General features: G+C 39.7%; 1 protein-coding gene across 50 annotated transcripts in view; it reads left to right on the top strand.

Moving 5' to 3' along the window:
• PAK1 (p21 (RAC1) activated kinase 1) overlaps window positions 1-22,551 on the top strand; it is a 207,993-nt gene that overhangs the window by 142,698 nt on the left and 42,744 nt on the right. For 47 of the 50 annotated variants that reach the window (NR_164797.1, NR_164798.1, XM_024448560.2 and 44 more), the window contains 3 exons: window positions 7,318-7,418; window positions 7,924-8,071; window positions 12,947-12,984. Coding sequence is in view for 48 of the 50 variants with exons in the window: in XM_024448560.2 (XP_024304328.1) it covers window positions 7,318-7,418; window positions 7,924-8,071; window positions 12,947-12,984 (287 nt within the window). In the remaining 2 variants the exon portion in view is untranslated. Of the gene's footprint in view, window positions 1-7,317; window positions 7,419-7,902; window positions 8,072-12,946; window positions 12,985-22,551 lie in introns of all 50 variants that reach the window. The other 3 variants (NM_001376272.1, NM_001376304.1, NM_001376301.1) reach the window with 3 other exon arrangements.

Genomic DNA, 22,551 nt, shown 5'->3' with positions numbered 1-22,551 from the left:
CACTTGAGGTCAGGAGTTCTAGACCAGCCTGGCCAACATGGCAAAACCCTGTCTCTACTAAAAATACAGAAATTAGCCGGTTGTGGTGGCAGGCACCTGTAATCCCAACTACTCAGGAGGCTGAGGCAGGAGAATCGCTTGAATCTGGGCGGCAGAGGTTGCAGTGAGCCAAGATCATGCTACTGCACTCCAGCCTGGGTAACAGAGTGAAACTCCATTACAAAAAAAAAAAAAAAAAGGCTGGGCGTGGTGGCTCACACCTTTAACCCCAGCACTTTGGGAGGCCAAGGCGGGTGGATCACTTGAGGCCAGGAGCTCAAGACTAGCCTGGCCAACATGGTGAAACCCTGTGTCTACTAAAAATACAAAAATTAGCTGGACGTGGTAGTGGGCACCTGTAATTCCAGCTACACAGAAGGCTGAGGCAGGAGAATTGCTTGAACCCAGGAGGCAGAGGTTGCAGTGAGCTGAGATCACACCACTGTACTCCAGCATGGGTGACAGAGCAAAATTCTGTCTCAAAAATAATTAATTAATTAATTAATACTGATACCTGCATTCCACCCAGACCTTTGGAGTCAGAATTTCTAGAGGAGTTGTCTTGGGTCTCTAGAGAGATTTTTGGGAGATGAGAAAGAAGAATGATCTGTAGGCTGTAGTAATGGTTGAGATTTGAGCTGCCAGTGGGTAGAATGTCTTTGGGCATTACCTAATGCTGACCTCTCTAGCATGGCCTCAGTATGTGCCTGGGGGATGCATAAATGATTGGAAAGAGAAGCTGTAATTGAGGGCCTGTAATAGGTGATGCTGAGTTGCAGAATTCCATGTGGGAAAGCCTGGTTCCTGTGGTTAGGATCTGGAGCCTTTGGTTTATTCTAAGAAGTCTTTCAGCATTTAGTTTGAAATCTTTTTCTGGCTGCATTTTCACAAGCAAAGTGGAATTCTCTGAGCTTGGGAAGAGTTTAGCAAAGTTAATTTTAACATTGGACTATGTCAGTGTTTATCTCTCCAAGTTTGGAACGTTTTACTGCCTTGAGCTCAGATTAGCTCAGTGGAGCCAATGAGAGGTGCTGCTTAAAAATCATTTTTTTAAAAAAGGCCAGTGATTTGTGCTGAAACTTTGATGGCTATACCAAGACATGGGATTTTGCAGTGTCAGCCTCATTTCCCATGCTATCAGAAAGCCAAGTGGTCTAGGTCAAAGATAGGGTTAAAGTTGGGATGGGTGAGGTTGGAAGCTTCTTTTCCCGCTTTATTTTCTCAATCCCAAGATCTCTAGATACATGAAATCAAGATGATTCTTTCCTCTTTCTCACCTCAACCACAGTTTCTCTGTCTTAATGAATGGGCTGAGAAACCTAACAGTTTTTTATATTAATGACAACTCATGTTTGTAAAGTTCTTTAGTTTACAAAGCACATATATTTCCTGTAACTTAAAGAATTCTTTTTTTTTTGAGACAGTCACGCTCTGTTGTCCGGGCTAGAGTGCAGTGGCGCGATCTCAGCTCACTGCAACCTCCACCTCCTGGGTTCAAGCAATTCTCCCTGCCTCAGCCTCCCGAGTAGCTGGGATTATAGGCACCTGCCACCACGCCTGGCTAATTTTTGTATTTTTTAGTAGAGGCGGGGTTTCACCATGTTGGCCAGGCTGGTCTTGAACTCCTGACCTCAGGTGATTCACCCGCCACGGCTGCCCAAAGTGCTGGGATTACAGGCATGGGCCACTGCGCCCAGCCAAGAATTCTTAACATCGTTGTAGGAATCCTTATTTAGATATAAGTCTTCTGTCAGTTATATATGTTACAAATATCTTCTGTGCTCTTAGCTTTTATTAGATTAAGTAAATTCCCCTGTAATCTTAGACAGATGCTTGGCATGATGTGAGATAGAATTTTAATGTGGTCAAATTTATTAATTATTTCCTTTCTAATGCTTTGTGGTTCTATTTTTGAAATCTTTACCTACTCAGAGACATGAAGGTTTTTCTATTGAGTTTTCTGTATTCACGTACATGAGCACATGATCTGTAAATTGTAATAGTTCTTTTTCTTTCTTTGTAATCCTTCTCCTTTTACTTCTTTTTCTTGCCTAATTGCACTGGTTAATACCTTCAGTACTATGATGAATAGAAGTGGTGAGGAGGAATACCCTTCTCCTGTTTTTAATCTCAGGAAAAGCTTTCAGCATTTTAGAATTGAGTATAATGTTTGCTCCAGTTTTTGGTAATTACCTTTTATTAGATTAAGTAAATTCCCTTGTAATCCTAGTTTGCTAAGAGTTTCTAATCATGATTGATATCACATTTCAGCAAATGCTTTTTTCTGCATTAATTGAATTGATTATATATATTTTCTTCTTTATTTTCTTAATATAGTAAATTACATTCACTTTTTTTTAAAAAATTGAGATATAATTCACATGCCATACAAGTCACCATCTTAAAATGTACAATTCCGTGGTTTTTAGTATATTCATAAGATTGTACAACCATTACAACTAATTCCAATACATTTTCATCACTCCAGAAAGAAACCTCATACTCATTGCAGTCGTTCCTCACTTCTCCCTTCTCCCCTGGCAACCACTAATCTACTCTGTGTCTATGGATTTGCCTATTCTGGACATTTCATATAAATGGAATTACACAGTATATTGCCCTTTGTGACTGGCTTCTTTCACTTAGCATAATGTTTTCAAGGTTCATCCATGTTGTAGCATGGATCAGGACTTCATTTCTCTTCATGGCTGAATAATAGTATATGGATGTACTGCATTTTATCTATTCGTCACTTGAGGGACATTTGGGTTGCCTTCACTTTTTGACTGTTATGAATAAGCTAATGTGAACATTCACATACAAGTTTTTGTGTAGACATAAGTTTTCATCAGATTCCTGCAGACATACTTCTAGTCATCATAAAAAATTTGCAACTGCAGCAGTAGTCCCAGGGATACTATATCCCTGGGATATGGGACCATCAGGATCCTAGGTTTGCTTTATTTTCTCCATTGTGTCTTCCCTCAGTCCGAAGCTCTTAGTGCCTTCCTGCCTGCAGTCATGTGCTTTGTGAATCTGGTAAGAGTTTATGAAATTTGGTTGACTTGCTGAGCAGGTGGAAAGATGGAAGAAAGATCACACTGCTTACTTCTTTTGGCCTCTGCTTATTCTGTTTCTTTTGGAAATGCCCTTTCCCATCTCGGTCTGGCTAACCCCTGTTCATCCTTTATGACTTCTTTCAGGTATTATCTTCTCCAGAAGAGTGGTTTATTACTTACCTTCTTCTGTACACAGAGCATGCACCATTGTCCTATTTTGCAGATTGAAGACTTGAAACTCAGACTTTCCCTGGGTCACCCAGTGAGTTACTGGCAAAAATAATACTGAATCCTTCCTCTGAGATTCTTTCCACTAACAGAAATTTCTTTTAATTCCCTGACCTCAGCTGTTTAGCTCCTGGGTTTGTGGTGATGAGCCAGTGAGACAGTGACTGGCAGAGCTTGGTGAAGGGCTGTACACAGGTGAAGGGGATGATTGTTACTTCCAAGAAGGGATTAATTGGGTTCCAGGTGGCTCTGGGACTGTATGACTTCTCCATTTCTCTCCTGTATTCCTGCCTCTTGAATCCTGTTTTCTGCTGGTGATCCCCAACTGGTGAATACTCAGTCTAAATATTACACAGTACCAGGCCGGGCGTGGTGGCTCATGCCTGTAATACCAGCACTTTGGGAGGCCAAGGTGGGTGGATCACCCGAGTTCAGGAGTTCGAGACCAGCCTGGCAACATGGTGAAACCCTGTCTCTACTGCAAATACAACAAGTAACTGGGTATGGTGGCGGGTGCCTGTAATCTCAGCTACTTGGGAGGCTGAGGCAGGGAGAATTGCTTGAACCGGGGAGGTGGAGGTTGCAGTGAGCTGAGATCACGCCATTGTACTCCAGCCTGGGCAACAAGAGTGAGACTCTGTCTCAAAAAAAAAAAAAAAAAAAATTACACAGTACCCAAGCTAAATCCTGCCACCTAGATTTCCCCGTTCCTTTTACTTCTCTCCTCTCCCACTTCAACCAAGTCATTGCTATTCTTGTACTCCGCGTCTAATCTATGTTAAACTGTTATTTCAGTTAGTAGTTGATACCAGTCAAATCTCAGTAGGGATCAGGGGTATAATAAAGAGTGAAAGACTTGATCAGGTAGACTACAGTCCTGTGCTCTGTGAATCAGGACAAGTCAACTTACATCCCTGGGCCTCTTTCCTCAGGGAATGGGATCATGGTCTCTAGAGTCACTCCCTAATATTTTCTTTCTTTATTTTTTTGAGACACAGCCTCACTCTGTCACCCAGGCTGGAGTGCAGTGGTACAATTTCAGTTCACTTCAACCTCTGCCTCCTGGTTCAAGCTATTCTCATGCTTCAGCCTCCTGAGTAGCTGGGATTACACGCATGTGTCTCCACGCCCAGCTAATTTTTGCATTTTTAGTAGAGATGGAGTTTCACCATGTTGGCCAGGCTGGTCTTGAACTCCTGACCTCAAGTGATCCGCCTGCTTCAGCCTCCCAAAGTGCTGGGATTACAGACGTGAGCCACCGTGCCCGGCCATTCCCTAATATTTTCTAGAGTGTTCTTCAACTAAGTAAGCCATGTGCTGTATTGAAATTCAGAAGTACAGGGATTGTAATTGGAAGTGGTAATTTTGGTCCTCAAGAAGCTTACATTTTGGATTTTTAAACTAGCAAGGAATTATATAAGATAGGAAATGACTAGATGCTTGGTGGTGTAGCAGACTCAGTGTCTTGGGAATTAACAGGAAGAAGAAAGGTCAGGAAATCCTTCCTGGAAAAAGTGGGACCTGAGCCAGTCTTTAAAAGATTGCTGAGATAGGGAGAAGGAGAAGAGAGCATTCCAAACAAGGAGAAGAAAAAGCAAGCAAAAAGTTGGAGGTGGGAATATGTGAGGTATATTCAAAGGTTGCAGGGTAAAGAGTGCTCAGTAGAAGCAGAGCTGACTTTAGCATTACCCTGTGTGTTCATGTATTAAATGATTTCATTTCTCTGGAACTCTTTTCTGTAAACCACTCATGCTTTGAGCTAACTTTCTTTTTGGGTCTCCTTTACCAAAGTTTCTTATGCATTTGACAGTTCATGCCTGTGATGTATTATATAGTATATCAATTATATATAATAGAAATAATGTATAAACATGCATAGATATAGAAAATAAAAATTGAAATAAAACACAAATATAATTGTACTTCCCTAAGTGACTAGATCAGAGGGAATTTAGAAACAGAAAGTAGTTCCAAAGCCCTGCCACATGTTCCAGTGCATTCTGGCTATGAGAAAGACAGATGGACTTACGTCATAAAGGACTGCTTGACTTGGGGCCCTGGTATACCCCTTAGCCTTCTCTTTCTCAAAGCAGCTGCTTCTGAGAGGGAAATTGCCAAGTGCATAAATAGCTTAAACCCTAGCACTTGGCATGTAGGCAAATGGTTCTCATTAAGATACTGAAGAATGAACGTTTGGAATCAGACCTGGGTTCAAATCCCAGCTCTCAGTAGCTGTATGAGTAAATTACTCAGTTTCCTCATCTGTAAAATGACAGTAGTAGTATTTATCTCATAGGATTGTAAGAATGACGGTAGTAATATCTATCTTGTAGGATTGTAAGAATGAAGAAAAATACTATATTGACATCATGGTTTGTATACATGGCAAGTTCTTAATGTCATTTCTTCTTACTACACTGAAGTATGTTTTCTTGATTCAACTTGAAATTTTTTAGGGGAGGTAAAATAGAATGTGAAGAGCCTTGGCTTTGATGCCAGACTTTTTGGATTTTAATTACTTAATGATTGTAGGCAAGTCTGCTCCCAAATTTTCTAATCTACAAGTAAAACTTACCTCAGGATTGTGGTGATTGTATTAGATGATATGTATGAAATACCTATTTAAAACTGTGGGATGCCATCTCAGGAAGGAATCTTAACTGCAGAGCTTTGAGAAAGCATAGTTTCTTGTTTTCATAGATTCACAGAATGTAGGTGCTTGAGGGACCCTTAAGATCATCTAGCTCATCCTCTCCCTTGTTTAGATGAGAAAGCAGAGATCCTGGTCTCTCTTTCTCTCTCTCTCTCTACACACACACACACACACACACACACACACACACACACTCTGTGGTGAGGTAGAGGTGAAACTGGCTTGAACTCTAGACCTTTTTGTTTTTTCCTTCTCATTTTGCTACCTTTTATCAGGGTTTTGCTGGGTCTGTGGAGGTGTTAGAACTTCAGAATTTCTTTTGGTTAGTGTGTTGAGCTCCCAGACAGCAGGGTTTTAAAATAAGGTTCACAGGTGCTGGGTAACAAGTGTTGTGAAAGTCAGGCCAGAGCTGCTGAAATGAACATTTATTCCTGCCCTGGAGAGAATTTTTGTGTCTTAGGCAGATTCTTTAAACTCCTTGCCCAGTTGAGTTAAATGTCTGGTCATTTTTTCCTTTCTTCACTTACTGTCTGAGCACCTACTTTGTCCAGGTGTGTGCTAGCCTCTGGGAAGCTGTGATTAATTTGACATGGCCTCTGCACTTAGAATTCAGTCTGGTATGGAAGATAAACACTTATAATAGTCAATTACTATTACATATATTGGGTGCTGTGGGAACAGAGAGGGTAAAGAACCACCCAGCCTAGAGATCAAGGAGGGCTTCACAAAAAAGATGACTTACTCTATATCAACTGGCTAGTTACTGGTAAAACCAGAACTGTTAACTCTGACAGACGATCTTTTTGCCTCTCCCTTTATTTTATTGTTTTTTGTTTTTTTGAGACAGGGCCTCACTCTGTCACCCAGGCTGGAATGCAGTGGCGTGATCTCAGCTCACTGCAACCTCTACATCCTGGGCTCAAATGATCCTCTTGCCTCAGCTTCACAAGTAGCTGGCATTACAGGCATGCACCACCATGTCTAGCTAATTTTTGTATTTTTGCAGAGACAGGGTTTTGCCATGTTGCCTAGGCTGGTCTTGAACTCCTGGACTCAAGCAATCTGCCTGCCTTGGCCTCCCAAAGTGCTGGGATTACAGGCATGAACCACCGTGCCCGGCCACCTCCCGTACTTTAGTTCAACAAGAAATTAAGTCTTTAAACATGCATTGAGTATCTGCTCCAATCCAGATCCGTAACTGAGCTCTTCTACATATGTGAAATATTAATAGATAGACTTTGCCCTCTCAAGGAGACTACAGCTCAATAAAGAGCTAAAATAAGCCTAAAAACAATAATGTTCCTGTTTTTTATTTCCTTTTGCCTGTTTCTCTTGCAGCAAATAAAAAGAAAGAGAAAGAGCGGCCAGAGATTTCTCTCCCTTCAGATTTTGAACACACAATTCATGTCGGTTTTGATGCTGTCACAGGGGAGTTTACGGTAAGTCCTGGGTCACAGAAAGGTCTTTAGTCTTTTAGAGTTCTGGCTGTGCACTGTTAGATTCAACCCTTTCTCATCTTCCTGATGCTTCTATCTTTGCCTGAGACCCTGATTACAATTTTCTCACGTTCATGAGTGGGACACTTTCATCGCCAAAATTGTATCCAGAGAAGCCTTTCCATCTCCGTTCCTTAAATAATAAACCTCTGTTAAATGGTAGGCTTGGTAGCAGGCTCTGTGTGGGGCACTGATCATGCAGGAACAACATCCTATCCTACCATCCTGGAGGTATAGCCTGGTGAAGGAGCAGACATCTTAAGAAATGACTAATTCAATGAGAAAGATATTATAAAAGAGGCTTGTGTAAACTCTGAGAGTATAGAGAGAAAGGAATGACTAATAAATGCATCTTTTGCTGCTAGCAAGTGTCAAAGTTAGCTCTGATGTTCTTTCAGGCTCCCCTGTGACTGTGCCTTCCTGTTAGTCTTGCATGTCTCTCTTACAGGGAATGCCAGAGCAGTGGGCCCGCTTGCTTCAGACATCAAATATCACTAAGTCGGAGCAGAAGAAAAACCCGCAGGCTGTTCTGGATGTGTTGGAGTTTTACAACTCGAAGAAGACATCCAACAGCCAGAAATACATGAGCTTTACAGGTATGAGAACTGCGTCCAGGGCAGTCTCAGCAAGAGATGGTTTTAATCTGGGTGGGAAAGCTCACATGCCTATTAGTCTGGGATGAGAGAAGAAAGTAGTGGAAAGAGTGGAAGTGGCACTTTAACGTGGAATTTTGGAATTTGACAGCCAAGATGATGGACTTTGCATCAAACTTGAGTCTTCACTCTGTCACTGCACACGTTTTTTTAAAAATAGCATGGTATTATATAGAGAGAACACAGGTTTTATGCTAGAAGGTCTAGATTCTGACCTTTACTAGGTTCTACCAGTCACTTCATTTCTTTGCATCTCAAAATGGGAATTCCTATCTCAAGAGGCTGTAGTGAGAAATGGTTGGGCGCAGTGCCTCACGCCTGTAATCCCAACACTTTGGGAGGCCAAGGCAAGAGGATCGCTTGAGGTCAGGAGTTCGAGACCAGTCTGGGCAACGTGGCAAAACCCTGTCTCTACAAAAAATACAAAAATTAGCCGGGTGTGGTGGTGCATCCCTGTGGTCCCAGCTACTTGGGAAGCTGAGGAGAAGGGATCACTTGAGCCTGGGAGGTGGAGTTGCAGTGAGCAAGGATCACACCACTACACTCCAGCCTGGGCAACAGAGTGAGACCCTGTCTCAAAAAAAAGAGGTTATAGTGAGAAATAAGTGAGCTGATTGATGTGAGAGTTCTTTATAAGTTGTAAAACATCACCATAGAAATGTAGCTATCATTGTCATCATTATTGTTAATATTATTATTAGTTATTTAATAACATTAATGTATGTCTTCCTCAGGGAACTAATTTTTATTAGTTAAATGAAAAACAGGCCAATAAAGAATAAGTTTCTTTAGATGTACCCTCGGTAGAAGGGACTATATTTTTCAGAGTGTTTTTAATAGCAGAATTGGGATTAGAACCCAGGTCTCCTAATTCCTGTAACATCACCTTTTGAATTTACTACTTGCCCCTAATAATGTTATTTGGAGGCTCTCCTTCCACAGCGGACCAGCTTTCCATTGTTTTGCAGGTGTGAGAACCAAAGAAGGCCTTTCTAATATGCTAAATTAATAGTGGGCTAATCTTTTAATTTCTAGGCTCTTTACTCATGTTGCCTCCTTCAAATGGCAGTATTGTTGGGAAGGTGAGAACCAGGATGAACTAGTGAATTTTGAAGGATGCTTTCCCCAGCCAGTATCTGGCTTGTTTCAAGGGCACAGATGGTGGAGATGACAGGCTGCAGCTTCACTCATGCTGCTATGGTGGTGCCCAGGAGAGGGCCATGCATGTGCCCAGCAGTATTTCCTTCCTCTCGTCTGGCCCCGCTGAGTCTGTCTCACTTACTCCATTGAGGGACTGAGTCATTTCAAGGAGGAATTGGGCTGGAGGGCTACTGAGTGGGAAAGTTTTCTAGTCAGGAAATTAGAGTTTGTGTTTAAGGAACTTGTCATGGAAACATCAGGTTAGAGGCTGTCTTTGAAAACCTCAGTGGCCAAGTCTTTGCAAGGATCTTTCCTGCATGTATGTATGTAAATATGTGCTAGTGGCATGTAAATGTGTATGTAAACAGAGACATAGCCCTGTGGGTTTGCATATATTTGGAATTAAAGCCTACTTAAGTATTCATGAACAAAGATAAAGTCCACTCAGGTATTCATGAACGAACATATGTATAAATATAAACATTCAGGTAATTATGTGTATGTTCATTCATGCATGCACATATGAATAATATTGAGTGTATATGTACAGATACGTGTGTACATCTACTTTTGTATGTATAAATTTGTGCACATGTATATATATGTATGCAAGAATTTTAATTTTCTATAAGTTGAAGACTAGGGCCAACTCTAGGCAAAATTGCATATTTGGTATAGGTTTTTTTAAGTGTCATATCTCTCCTTTCCCTATTTACCATCCTCTTATACTATTAGTTATGATAATACTACCTCATTTGTATATGCTCACATGTGAATTACCTCATGTGATTCTTTTGCTGGAGTCCTGTGGTGTGATCTTGGCTCACTGCAGCCTGTGCCTCCTGGGCTCAGGTGATTCTCCTGCCTCAGCCTCCTGAGTAACTGGGACTGCAGGCATGCACCACCACCCCCAGCTAATTTTTGTGTTTTAATAGAGACAGTTCACCATGTTGGCCAGGCTGGTCTGGAACTCCTGACCTCAAGTGACCTGCTCACCTTGGCTTCCCACAGTTCTGGGATTACTGGTGTGAGCCACTGAGCCTGGCTCCCTCATGTGATTCTTATGATGGCCTTAGATTGGCAGGGCAAGGACTATTATGCTCATTTTATATACTCAAAGAAATTAATTAGGCTCAGAGAAGTTAAATGACATACCCCAAGTGACTCAGCTGATACATGATGGAAATGTATTTTAAGTTGGGCCTTTAACTCCTTTGCTGCCTATAACCGAAGCACAATCTTCCATGCTAATTTTTTTGTCAAGTATTTCTATTTTTTCAACACTTAATTTTTTTTTTTTTTTTTTTGAGATGGAGTCTCACTCTGTCACCCAGGCTGGAGTGCAGCAGCGCGATCTCGGCTCACTGCAACATCTGCCTCCTGGGTTCATGCAATTCTTCTGCCTCAGCCTCCCAGGTAGCTGGGACTACAGGTGCATGCCACTATGCCTGGCTAATTTTTGTATTTGTAGTAGAGATGGGGTTTCACCATATTGGCCAGGCTGGTCTTGACCTATTGACCTCATGATCCACCCACCTTGGCCTCCCAAAGTGCTGGGATTACAGGCGTGAGCCATGTGCCTGGCAACACTTAATTTTTTATACCTGTTAGTAGCTAATGTAATAGGGAAAAAGTAGACTAGATTGACAACTCAACTGGGTCTTAGCCCTATTTTGCCACTGACTTACGTGACCTTGAACCAATCTTTTTCCTTTTCTGCACCTCATTTTGCTCATCTGTAAAATGAAAGTGCTGGAAGCACTTTCTGTTCCATCATTCTGTGCTTTGGAATTTGATTTTGATATATAGAAGTTCATCACCTTTAAAGGGAGTGTTTACTTATTTTTATATGACATAACAAGTATGCCTATTACCAAAATACCCAATCTTCAAAAATACTAGCAGTACGTAAAGTTGGGGGTAGTGCAGTGAAGGCATAGTGTTGTACTCTGCCAAAGTTGATAGTCTATAGTCTTTTGGACAAGAAAAAACAAACGAATTATGTTTAAAGTATATCCTGAATTTATTTCTCCAGAATACTGCTAGCTATTCTGGATTTGTTATAAGAACAAGTTGTCAGAGCTTGCCTTATTTCCTGCTTTGTGGGTTCATGATTTGCTGTAGTGTCAAAGAAGCTGTATCTAGCACTTTTTTACATGATGGAATTGGAATTGTACATTCTCTGGGCTTGGTTCTTGGTGAGGAATATATTGGATTTGGTAGAATATTTCCCCTCCTTAATTCTATTAGTGGTGAATTGGCAGTCAGTTTTTCTTGGACCCAGGGGAATTAAAGAACAAAACTGAAGACATTACCTGGTCTTTAAACTTACTTTCTTCCTAAGATCTCCATTGGGTCTCTCTTTCAAATTTTATGAAGTCTAAGATACCACTGATTGTAAGATGTACAATTATTTGCATACCAATCAAAGAAAATAAAGCTGCCAATTAAACCATAACATGCTTTAGAAAGTAGGACACACCTCTGTTTCAGAGACGTTAATGTGAAAAAATGTACATCTCAGAATCAGTGAAACATGGTAATTGCTTCATTGAGGGAGCTTGATTCTATTCTTGGAAAACAAGACCCTACCTTTAATTAGACTTGACAGGATCAATACCTCTCTTTTCCTCAACCTTAGTCCTTTTGTCCTTGTGGGCAGTAGATATGGATATAGAAGGATCCTTTATGAAAGCTGAAACTGGAGACTGGCCATGTTTTGGCATGGATGACTCAGGATGGTGCTATGGATTCTTTCCTTTTCTTTTAGAATGCAGATTTTCTTGGCCATTTAAGCCTGACAGTGATATAGCTGATGATGTGGATACAGTTCTAGCGTAGTATTTAGAATGAGACCAGAATTCAAATCTAATTCCTCTCTTTAACCTGTGTGTACCCTGGGCAAATAACAGTCATGTGCCACAACAACAGACCGCATATACAATGGTGGTCTGATAATTAATATTATAAGGGAGTTGAAAAATTCTTATCACCTAGTGATTCCTGAAGTTTAAAATAAATTTAGCATAGCCTAAGTGTACACTGGTAATGTCCTACTTAGGCCTTCACATTTACTCATCACTCACTCACTGACTCACCCAGAGCAACTTCCAGTCCTGCAGGCTCTATTTATGGTAAGTGCTCATATAGGTGTATCCTTTTATTTACCTTGTAAACCATATTTTTTATTGTACCTTTTCTATGTTTAGATATACAAATACTTACCGTTGTGTTACAGTTGCCTGCAGTAACGTGCTGTACAGGTTTGTAGCCTAGAAAGCAATAGGCTATACAATATAGCCCAGGTATGTAGCAGGCTATACCGTCTAGGTTTGTGTAAGTACACTCTATGATGTTCACATAATGACCAAATTACCTGATGACACATTTCACAGAACATACCCCATTGCTAAGCCACACCCAACTGTACTTAACATCTCTGAACTTGTTTCCAAATCAATAAAAGTAGATATAATAATAGTACTCAGAGCCATAATGAGGATTAAAGAAGGTGATATGTATAATGCATTTAGCATGATATCTAGCCTGTAGTACCAGTCATACTATTACTATTCTCTGAATCTGGCACGTGCTTGACCAGATAGACTTCTTTTGCTGTCCAGAAAAATTTAACTGTAACTGTTATTGACTAAGTCCCTTGTTTTTCTTCCTGTGCAGATAAGTCAGCTGAGGATTACAATTCTTCTAATGCCTTGGTAAGTCTTTATTTACTCTATTTTGATGTGGGCAGATGTGGAGGTAAGGATCAAGACAGTGTGGTAGAGGCAGAGCCTGAGCTGGGAGGCACTCATATTAGTCACTCCTGCACCCTTGGCCTCAGAATTCCTATCTATCCAATAAAGAAATTAGATATAATAAATAGGGGGTATCCCTTTCAGCTTTAATGTCCTAGAAATTCTTTCTTTGTGATAATTTTTTTATTTTTAATTTTTATGGATTCATAATAGTCGTAAAATGTTCTAGAAATTCTAATTTTGGAACCAGAAGGTATGGCTTTAGACTCAGTTTTAATTTGTAGCTTTGAACCTTGGGAAAGTCAGTTTGCCTCTTTGAGCTTCAATTTCTTCATCAATAAAATGAGGATGATACACTGTGCCCTCACCTGGACATGTCTTCAGATACCTACACTTAGAAGAAAATTTCCTCTTTGGTCTATGGAGTCTGCAAAACCAAGATTAGTACTAATTGTTGAAGGGAGCAGATTTTATTCATTTAAAGTCATTCATTCTGTCCTCTGAAGTTGTAATGAATGCTTTGACACTCAAATGGATGTTATAGAAATCATGAAGAATTGGCTGGAGAGTAAACTAGATGATCTCTCTGTCTCTCTTAACTTACAAATTCTATTTCCCAGGGCACTTACAGGGATAAAATGTGATGTTGATGTATTTGAAAGGGTCCTATAAATAGTAAAATGTGATGCATATAAGAGAATACTGCTTTTTTTTTTTTTTTTTTTTAAAGAGACGAGGTTTTGCTCTGTTGCCCAGGCGGGAGTGCAATGGTGTGATCATAGCTCAGTGTAAACTCAAACTCCTGGGCTCAAATGATGCTCCTGCCCCAGCCCTCTGAATAGCTGGGACTACAGGTATAAGCCATCACACTCAGCTTATTGAGTGTGATGTCAAATTGTCAGACAGACAATTTTTTAAAAGTTTTGGTAGAGATGTGGTTCTCATTATGTGTTCTCAAACTCCTGGCTTCAAGTGATCCTCCTGCCTCGACCTCCCAAAGTGTTAGGATTACAGGTGTGAGCCACCACACCTGGTTGCTATTTATTTTTTACATCTGATGTTGTCTCTTGTACATAGGTGGTTATGCCATATTGATTTACTAAACATTTGCAAAAGCCCTAGTTTATCCTATGCCAAGTCCGGTGTGAATAAGTGACATTACAGAGATGGTCAGACATGTCCCAGTACCTAAGAACCTCCCAGTCTTGAGGTTGAAGACCTCAAGCAGCCAGTTCTTCATGATTCCTGTTTGTGCTTGAAGGCACAGACAGACAATTATAGTGCAGCATGCTAACCTTCATGAAGCCAGGGGCTGTCTCTGACTTGTTAATTGTTATATCCTTGGCATCTGGCAAGTCTTGGCATTTGGTAAACATTTACTGAATGAAAGGTTGGATGTGTCAGAGAAAGCTTCCTGATGGTAAAGTCTGAGCTGAATGAGTTAGTTATCTAGAGCAGGGATTAAGGGGAAATGCGGGTATTCCACACAGAAAGAGAATAGCATGTATGTGGGCAAGGAAGTTCATGAGGCATACTTGCACAGGGAACTGCGAAGTGGTTATGACTAGAATGTGAATAGTGAAGGAAGTAGAGGTGGGTGATGAGGAGGATTGGTAAGCAGGACAGATCATGTAGGAGTTTGACTTATCTTAAAGGTGATGAGACGCTTAAAGAACTTAAGCAGAAGAGTGGTTAAGTTCTAACACAATACCGAGTCACCATCAAAATACTTTGAACCATGCTTCCACCAGTGGGGACTGGTTTATTCGGAGTCATTTTTACACATATTGATTATAAAAAACAATATTCACACGTTCAGTGCCTTGCAACCTGTTGGATCCTTTCTTACTGACTCTCTGAATCCTCACAGGAGCTTACTGAGGTAAGTTATTATCCTTGTAGATGATAAAACTGAAATGGAAAAGAGTTAATGGCAATAGGCATCTGATTCCCAGCCTATACTGCTTTCCCCTGATTTGTGCTGCCTTTCATCAAATAGAAGAGATGTGATTAAAAGATGGGAAAGAATTTGCAAATATAGGATCTTTGAATAGTAAATTATTAAAGAAGAGGCTTTAAGCCGAATTGTGCTTTGTGGCTCAAATGTCTTTATGCTTTTGTAGGAAGAGTGATAGCTATCAATATTGAGTGCCTGCGATGCACGGTGTTAAAAACTTTATGTAAGCATGATTAGCCTCACAATTACTTATGTACAAAGTATTGTCATCTCCATTTCATAGGCAGAAAAACAGAGTTTCCTGAAGACTTATAATTAGAACCACATTACAACTGAGTCTTGTGAATCTCAGTTTAGGGTTCTTTTCACTGTGGCAAGGAACAAAAAAAGATGTCATTGAGGTCTTATAAAGGAGACTGCAGTAAAGCTGTAGCTATGTTGTTTGTTATTGAGGAGGAAGAGCCCTGGGGTTCATGCCATATGGCAGGGAGGATAACACCTGCTTGGTAAAAACTTGTACTGGTTTAGTATCTACAATTAAAACCACTAAGGCTGTCAAGGACATTGTTCTCCCCTAGTTCAGAACATTTGTCCAGCACTAGCTCAGTGCTCTATATATCCTTACTAGTTTTACATGGAGGATATGTTTTGTATTATGGTAGCATGTCATTATTTTCCATGTTGGTTTCAAACAGATGATTCCACTTGTGAAATAATCAAATATAATTGCTGCCTAAGAAATTAAGACTCAGAAAGATTAAGTGACTCACTCCCTACGTTTGAATGAGTTAGTAGTAGAAACCAGCACAAAATTCTGCTCTCCTGAGCATTCATGTATTCACTCATACCCTAAATATTGACTTAGTATCTTCTTTATGCCAAAATACAAGTGACACAAAAATGAACGTGCACTGTCTTAATCCTTGAGAAAAAAAATTAATGACAGACTGGGGAGATAAGGGCTGCAAGAGAGGCATGAATAATGTACAATAGGGTTATATTTGATGGAGTGATTTATTCTGCTCTGAAGTACAAGGAAGTTTGCAGAGTTCTTGGGCCTTAAAGCTTTGTTCGTTTAACAAACATAATCTTAAAGTCCCTTTTAGCTCTAAATTCTGTTATCTGTGGTTCACTGGTCTGAGATCTGACTCTAAGATTCCATGGCATTTTAATGCCTGATTCTCATTTATAAAATGAATAGTTACCACATGATAAGTTCTTTGGGTGCTGAGAAGTCAAGGACTAGTAAGATCTCTGCTCTTGGTCTCACAATTTTTGTGATGAATCAGAACATGTAAACAAGGATTTATAATATAGTGTTAAGTAAGCATCAGGTAATGATACCAGGCAGAGAAAAAGGCAGTGCTTTCCTGTCTGATGGACAGCATGAACAAAAGTTGGGTTAAGGATCCAGTATGTTAGGCCAGAGAGCTTGGACTTTGTGCTGGAGCTGAGGGACTATTTTAAGTAGAAGATTGATGTAGTTGGATATGTGATGTCTAAACTAACATCTTAGATTTCTTTGGAAATTGGATCAAGATAGTAAACTGAATTCATGTGCCCATCTCTCTTGCTATCTCAAATTTCTTAATTTCAGAAAAGATTTCTTAAAAACCAAATTAAAAGCAATGCTCTGAAACAAAAGCATGACATAAATCAACTGTTGTGAGGAATTCATGGAAGATAGAAAGCAGAAAAGGTCAGATTGATCAGAGCAGAAGAAGCCACAGCTTAAAGTATGTGTAAGAGAAGATGCCTAGGAAAATGAAAGTAGCTCCAGAGAAAATGGGCTGAAAGAATATATACAAGAAGCAGGAAAGAGTCATGGGTCATCTTCAAGGGTAAATTAATTTAATTCTACCTTTGAAACAGTAGGGGCAGCCTCCTCCTTACAGTGAACAAAAGGCAGCAGGTGCATTTGATTCTAAGCTAAAATCAGCTAATTTTCTGAAGAAAGTAAACTGCCTACTTGAGGAAAGCTCTTGCTGTGGGTATAGGGGCCTCAGAGAGAAACAGAGGAACCTGAGTTAACTGCAAAATTCTACCGCAGATATAAAGAAAAGGAAACAGGAGAAGTAGCTCTGCAGTGAAGGAAAATACATTAAAGTTTTCCATCCCAAGAGTAAATTTCTCATACTTTTGATACCTGGGAGGAGGGGAATCTCTACTTTTCCATGCCTACATACCCTAAAGTAACACTTGCCAATAACCATCTATCTATAACTCACAAACAGATCGTATCAGACCTCCCATTCAGAGTAGGACAGTGGAAAAACAGACTTACATAAGTTTCAGAAAAACTAATGCTAATTACATACACTAATCTATCCTTCACTTATAAATATGAATGAATAGCTAAGGATCTGCAGACATTTGAGAGAAACACAACATTAAAGAGAGGAACCAAGATAAGGAAGGAAAATTAGCCCCAGAGGAAGTAGATAAGTCAGGAAATAACTTTTAAAAAAATCTAGTATTTTCAGAGAGGATCTGTAGATGTTTCATCTACAAAAACACCCTGCTATTAGAGCAATCAGAGGAGGAAAGAATGTTCTTAGTATTAAAAACATAAGACATAAATTTATGGCTGGGTGCGGTGCTCACACCTGTAATCCCAGCACTTTGGGAGGCTGAGGCGGGTGGATCACCTGAGGTCAGGAGTTCGAGACCAGCCTGGCCAACATGGTGAAACCCCATCTCTACTAAAAATATAAAAATTAGCTAGGTGTGGGGGTATATGCCTGTAATCCCAGCTACTTGGGAGGCTGAGGCAGGATAATCACTTGAACCTGGGAGGCAGAGGTTGCAGTGAGCTGAGATTATGCCACTGCCCTCCAACCTGGGTGACGAAGCGAGACTCCATCTCAAAAAAAAAAAAAAAAAAAAAGAAATGTATAAGGTTTAAACAACAAATGCATATAAGTGAATAGGGAATTAATAATATAAAATATAAAAGATAGAAAATTTGAGAATAAATGACAATAGAGGGTTGGTCAGGGGGATTCAAGCATAAGCAGAGAACAGAGGCAGTAGAGTAAAAAAATAAAGAAAAAATAGAAGAAAAAATTCCCAGCTGAAGAAAGGCATGAGTCTTCAGATGAAGGGCCTGTTAATGACCAAGTCAGATAATTGAAAAGAGATCCAAGAATAAAGAGAAAAATCTTAAAAGCCTCCAAAGAGAATATAGTTCATGTCCAAAGGAACATTAGCATCAGACATCTCATTAGAAATAGTGGAAAAAACAGCAGTATCTTCAGAGGGATGAGGCAAATTGTTTAGAACCAAGAATTTTGTACCTAATCAAACTAACATTTAACTATAAGGTGTCAATATAAAGGTATGTTTGGACATGTGAAGATCAAGGTTTACCACCCACAGATCACTTCTGAAAGGCTAAATACCAAATAGTAACATCAATTACCTCTGGGGTTAATGGTGATTAAGAATACTCACTTAAAAGTATTTTTACCGGCCAGGCGCGGTGGCTCACGCCTGTAATACAAAAAAATTAGCTGGGCTTGGTGTTGTGTGCCTGTAATCCCAGCTACTCAGGAGGCCGAGGCAAAAGAATCACTTGAACCAGGGAGGCAGACGTTGCAGTGAGCCGAGATCATGCCACTGCACTCCAGCCTGGGCCGCAGAGTGGGACTGTATCTCAAAAAAAAAATAAATAAAAAATATTATTATCCAGGTATTTGATTAAAAAGTCAAGTAGGACTTGTAATAAGTAGCTCTCATTCTGGGATCTTCCTTCACCATTGTCTTGGCAATCCCTTTGCATTTTTGTGTTGGTATTCCTATTTTTTCTATGCCACGCCTACATTATTTTTTGTTTACTTTTGAATTTGGTGGAGCATATCCTCTAGTAGCTTTAAGAAAGTAAATGGAAAGTAAACATTTAATAATACCTTTCAGGTCTCAAAATGGGGCGTTCTCTATGCTACCCTCACGTTTAATTAATACTTCAGCTGCTTATAGAATTGCAGGTTACACATATTTTTTCATCAGAATTTGGAAAACATTACACTTTTGTCATCTAGCTTTCGGTACTGCTAAGTCCAAAGCCATTTTATTTATCCTTCTCTGTATGTGACCAATCTTTTTTTCTACTCAGAAAGCTTGTAGGGTCGTCTTTGTCACCATTGCTTAGAAATTTCACAATTATATTCCTATTTACATCTATTTATACTGCAGGGAGCTTTGTGAACTCTTTCGGCCTGGAAACTCTGCCCTCAGTTCTAGGAAATTGCTTGAATTATTTTGTTGATGATTTCTTCCCCTTGCTTCTTTTGTTATCTCTTCATGGAACCTCCATCATTTAGATCTTGGACCTTTTTGTTTGTTTGTTTGTTTTGAGACGGAGTCTCGTTCTGTCACCAGGCTGGAGTGCAGCGGCGTGATCTCAGCTCACTGCAACCTCCGCTTCCCGGTTCAAGCAATTCCTCTGCCTCAGCTTCCCTAGTAGCTGGGACTGCAGGCACGCACCACCATGCCAGGCTAATTTTTTTTTGTATATTAGTAGAGACGGGGTTTCACCATGTTGGCCAGGATGATTTCGATCTCCTGAGGTTGTGATCTGCCCGCCTCAGCCTCCCAGAGTGCTGGGATTACAGGCGTGAGCCACCACGCCCAGCCCTAGATCTTGGACCTCTTAAACTAATTCTCCATTTTTTAAAGGATTTTCTCTCTTTTCCTTGCGTTGGTTTTTATTCTGAAGAATTAGGAGACTTCCTCAACTTCATCTTTCAGTCAATTTAATTTTTCATTTCTATTCTCATGTTTAATTTTCAATCACTTTTTTATTTTAAGAAAATATATAGCATTCTTGTTTCCAGAATTGATATATTTTCTTATCTCTAAGGAAGGTAATGATAGGCTTTCTTTGGATGTTTTTTCCTTCCTGTTTAGTCTGTTTTTTCCAGGTGGCCCTTTGCCTCATTTGTTTTGGTTTCACACTTTTATGTTAGAGGTTTTCCTTGCGTATTCAGAGGTCTGCTCATATTTATGATTGGGGTAGTAAAAAGCTCACTAGAATTTTAAGCTCATTGGTGGTGGACAATTCAATACTTTTAATAAATTTATAGAGTTGTGCCGCCATCACCTGAAAAAGTTCCCTAGTGCCCTTTTACCATTCATTCAAACTCCCATGCTCAGCCCTAGGAAACCACTGATCTGCTTCTGGTCTTTATAAATTTGTCTTTCTAGACATTTTATATAAATAAACTCATACAACATGTAGTCTTTTGTGTTTTGCTTCTTTTACTTAGCTTTGAACTTTATGTTGTAACATGTATCAGTATGGTGTATTTCATTTCTTGTTATGTCCAAATCATATTCCCTTGTATGGATACACTACATTTTATTTATCTTCTCATCAGTTGATGTGTACTTGGGTTGTTCCTACTTTTTGGTCATTATGAATAATGCAGTTATGAACATTCACATACAAGGTTTTGTGTGGTCTCATTTCTTCAGAGTATATACCAAGGAATGGAACTGCTGGGGCATGTGGTTAACTTTATGTTTAACCTTTTGAGGAACTGCCAGACTTTTTTCCACAGTGCTGGCACCATTTTATATTCCCACTAGCAATTAATGAGGGTTCCAGTTTCTGCCTATCTTTGCCTGTCCCTGTTGTTGTCTGTCTTTTTATTGTAGTCATTTTAGTGGGTGTGAAGTGGTATCTCATTGTGATTTTATTGGATTTCCTAATGGATAATGATGTTGAGCATCTTTTCATGTGCTTATTGGCCATTTATATACAATCTACTTCACATTAACAGTAACTGAAATCCAGTAAAATATGTAAACTTTGCCCCAGTATATTTTCATTCCCTGCCCCTTCTTTATTCTATTACTGCCATTCTTTCATATACATGAATGTGTATGAATCTGTATGTGTATATGTGTGTGTGCACGTGTACGTACTGTATATATTGGAAGCCTAACAATTGCTTTATACAATTATGTTTTTTAAAGAAGTCAATGGAAGAAATAACAAAAAGTATTTTTTTAGAGTCTTCCATGTTAATCTACATATTTACCGTTTCCTCTGCTCTCCATTATTACTTGTGGATTTGAGTTACTATTTGGTATTACTTCGTTTCAGTCTGATGGGCTTCTTTGAGTATTTCTTGTAAATCAGGTCTGATAGCAATAAATTCTCTTTCTCTTTGTTAATCTGGAATGTCTTTATTTCGTCTTCATTTTGAAGGATAGTTTTGTTGGGTATAGATTTCTTGACTGGCAATTTTTAAAAATTTCAGCTGTTTGAATATGTCATCCCACTGCCTTTTGACCTCCATTTTTTCTGATCAGAAGTTTTTGTTTTGATTTTTAAAATACTCTGATCAGCAGTCAGCTGTTAATTATACTGACTGGCCTTGTACATGATGTCAGTTTTCTCTGGTTGCTTTAAATATTTTCATGTTGACTTTAGCTTTTGGCAGTCTGACTGTGCGTTTAGGTGTTATTTTTTTTTTTTTCTTTTTCTTTTTCTGAGACGGAGTCTCGCTCTGTCGCCCAGGCTGGAGTACAGTGGTGCGATCTTGGTTCACTGCAACCTCTGCCTCCTGAGTTCAGGCGATTCTCTTGCCTCAGCCGCCCGAGTAGCTGGGATTTCAGGTGCATGCCACCACAGCCAGCTAATTTTTGTATTTTTAGTAGAGATGGGGTTTCACCATATTGGCCAGGCTGGTCCCAAACTCCTGACCTCAAGTGATCCGCCTGCCTCAGCCTCCCAAAGTGCTGGGATTACAGGCATGAGCCACCGCTCCCAGCCAGGTGTGAATCTTTTTGTGTTTTCCTACTTTGGGATTTATCGAGGTTCTTGGATCTGTAGTTTAATGTTTTTATCAAATTTAGGAAGTTTTATCCTTATTTCTTTAAATATTTTTTCTGTGTCTTTTTTTTTTCTTCCTCAGAGACTCTCATTATATGTATGCTGGTGTGCTTTATGTTGTTCCACAGCTCTTTGATGCTCTGTTTTTTTCTTTAATTTTTTTTTACCTCAGTTCTTTATATTAGATAATTGCTATGGGTCCATTTTCTTTTTTCTTTTTTCTTTTTTTTTTTTTTTTTGAGACAGAGTCTTGCTCTGTCACCCAGGCTGGAGTGCAGTGGCACAATCTCAGCTCACTGCAACCTCTGCCTCCTGAGTTCAAGCGATTCTCCTGCCTCACCCTCTTGAGTAACTGGGACAACAGGCACGTGCCACCGCACCCAGCTAATTTTATTTTTATATTTTTAGTAGAGATGGGGTTTCACCATATTGGCCAGGCTGGTCTCGAACTCCTGACTTCGTGATCCGCCCACCTTGGCCTCCCAAAGTGCTAGGATTACAGGTGTGAGCCACCGCTCCCCACCTCCATTTTCAAATTCATTGATTCTTCTGCCATATAGAATCCCTTGTTTAGCTCTCTGGTGAGTTTTTCATTTGTTATTTTATTCTTCAACTGTAGTATTTCCATTTGGTTCATTTGAAGTAATGTCTACTGAGAATTTCACTCGTTGTTAGGCTTTCTTAAAACTCTTTAAACATGGTTTCTTTTAGTTTTTTGAATGTATTTATA

This window comes from Homo sapiens, chromosome 11, assembly GCF_000001405.40.
Source record: "Homo sapiens chromosome 11, GRCh38.p14 Primary Assembly".
NCBI lineage: Eukaryota > Metazoa > Chordata > Mammalia > Primates > Hominidae > Homo > Homo sapiens.
This window is presented reverse-complemented; position numbering and strand designations above follow the sequence as displayed.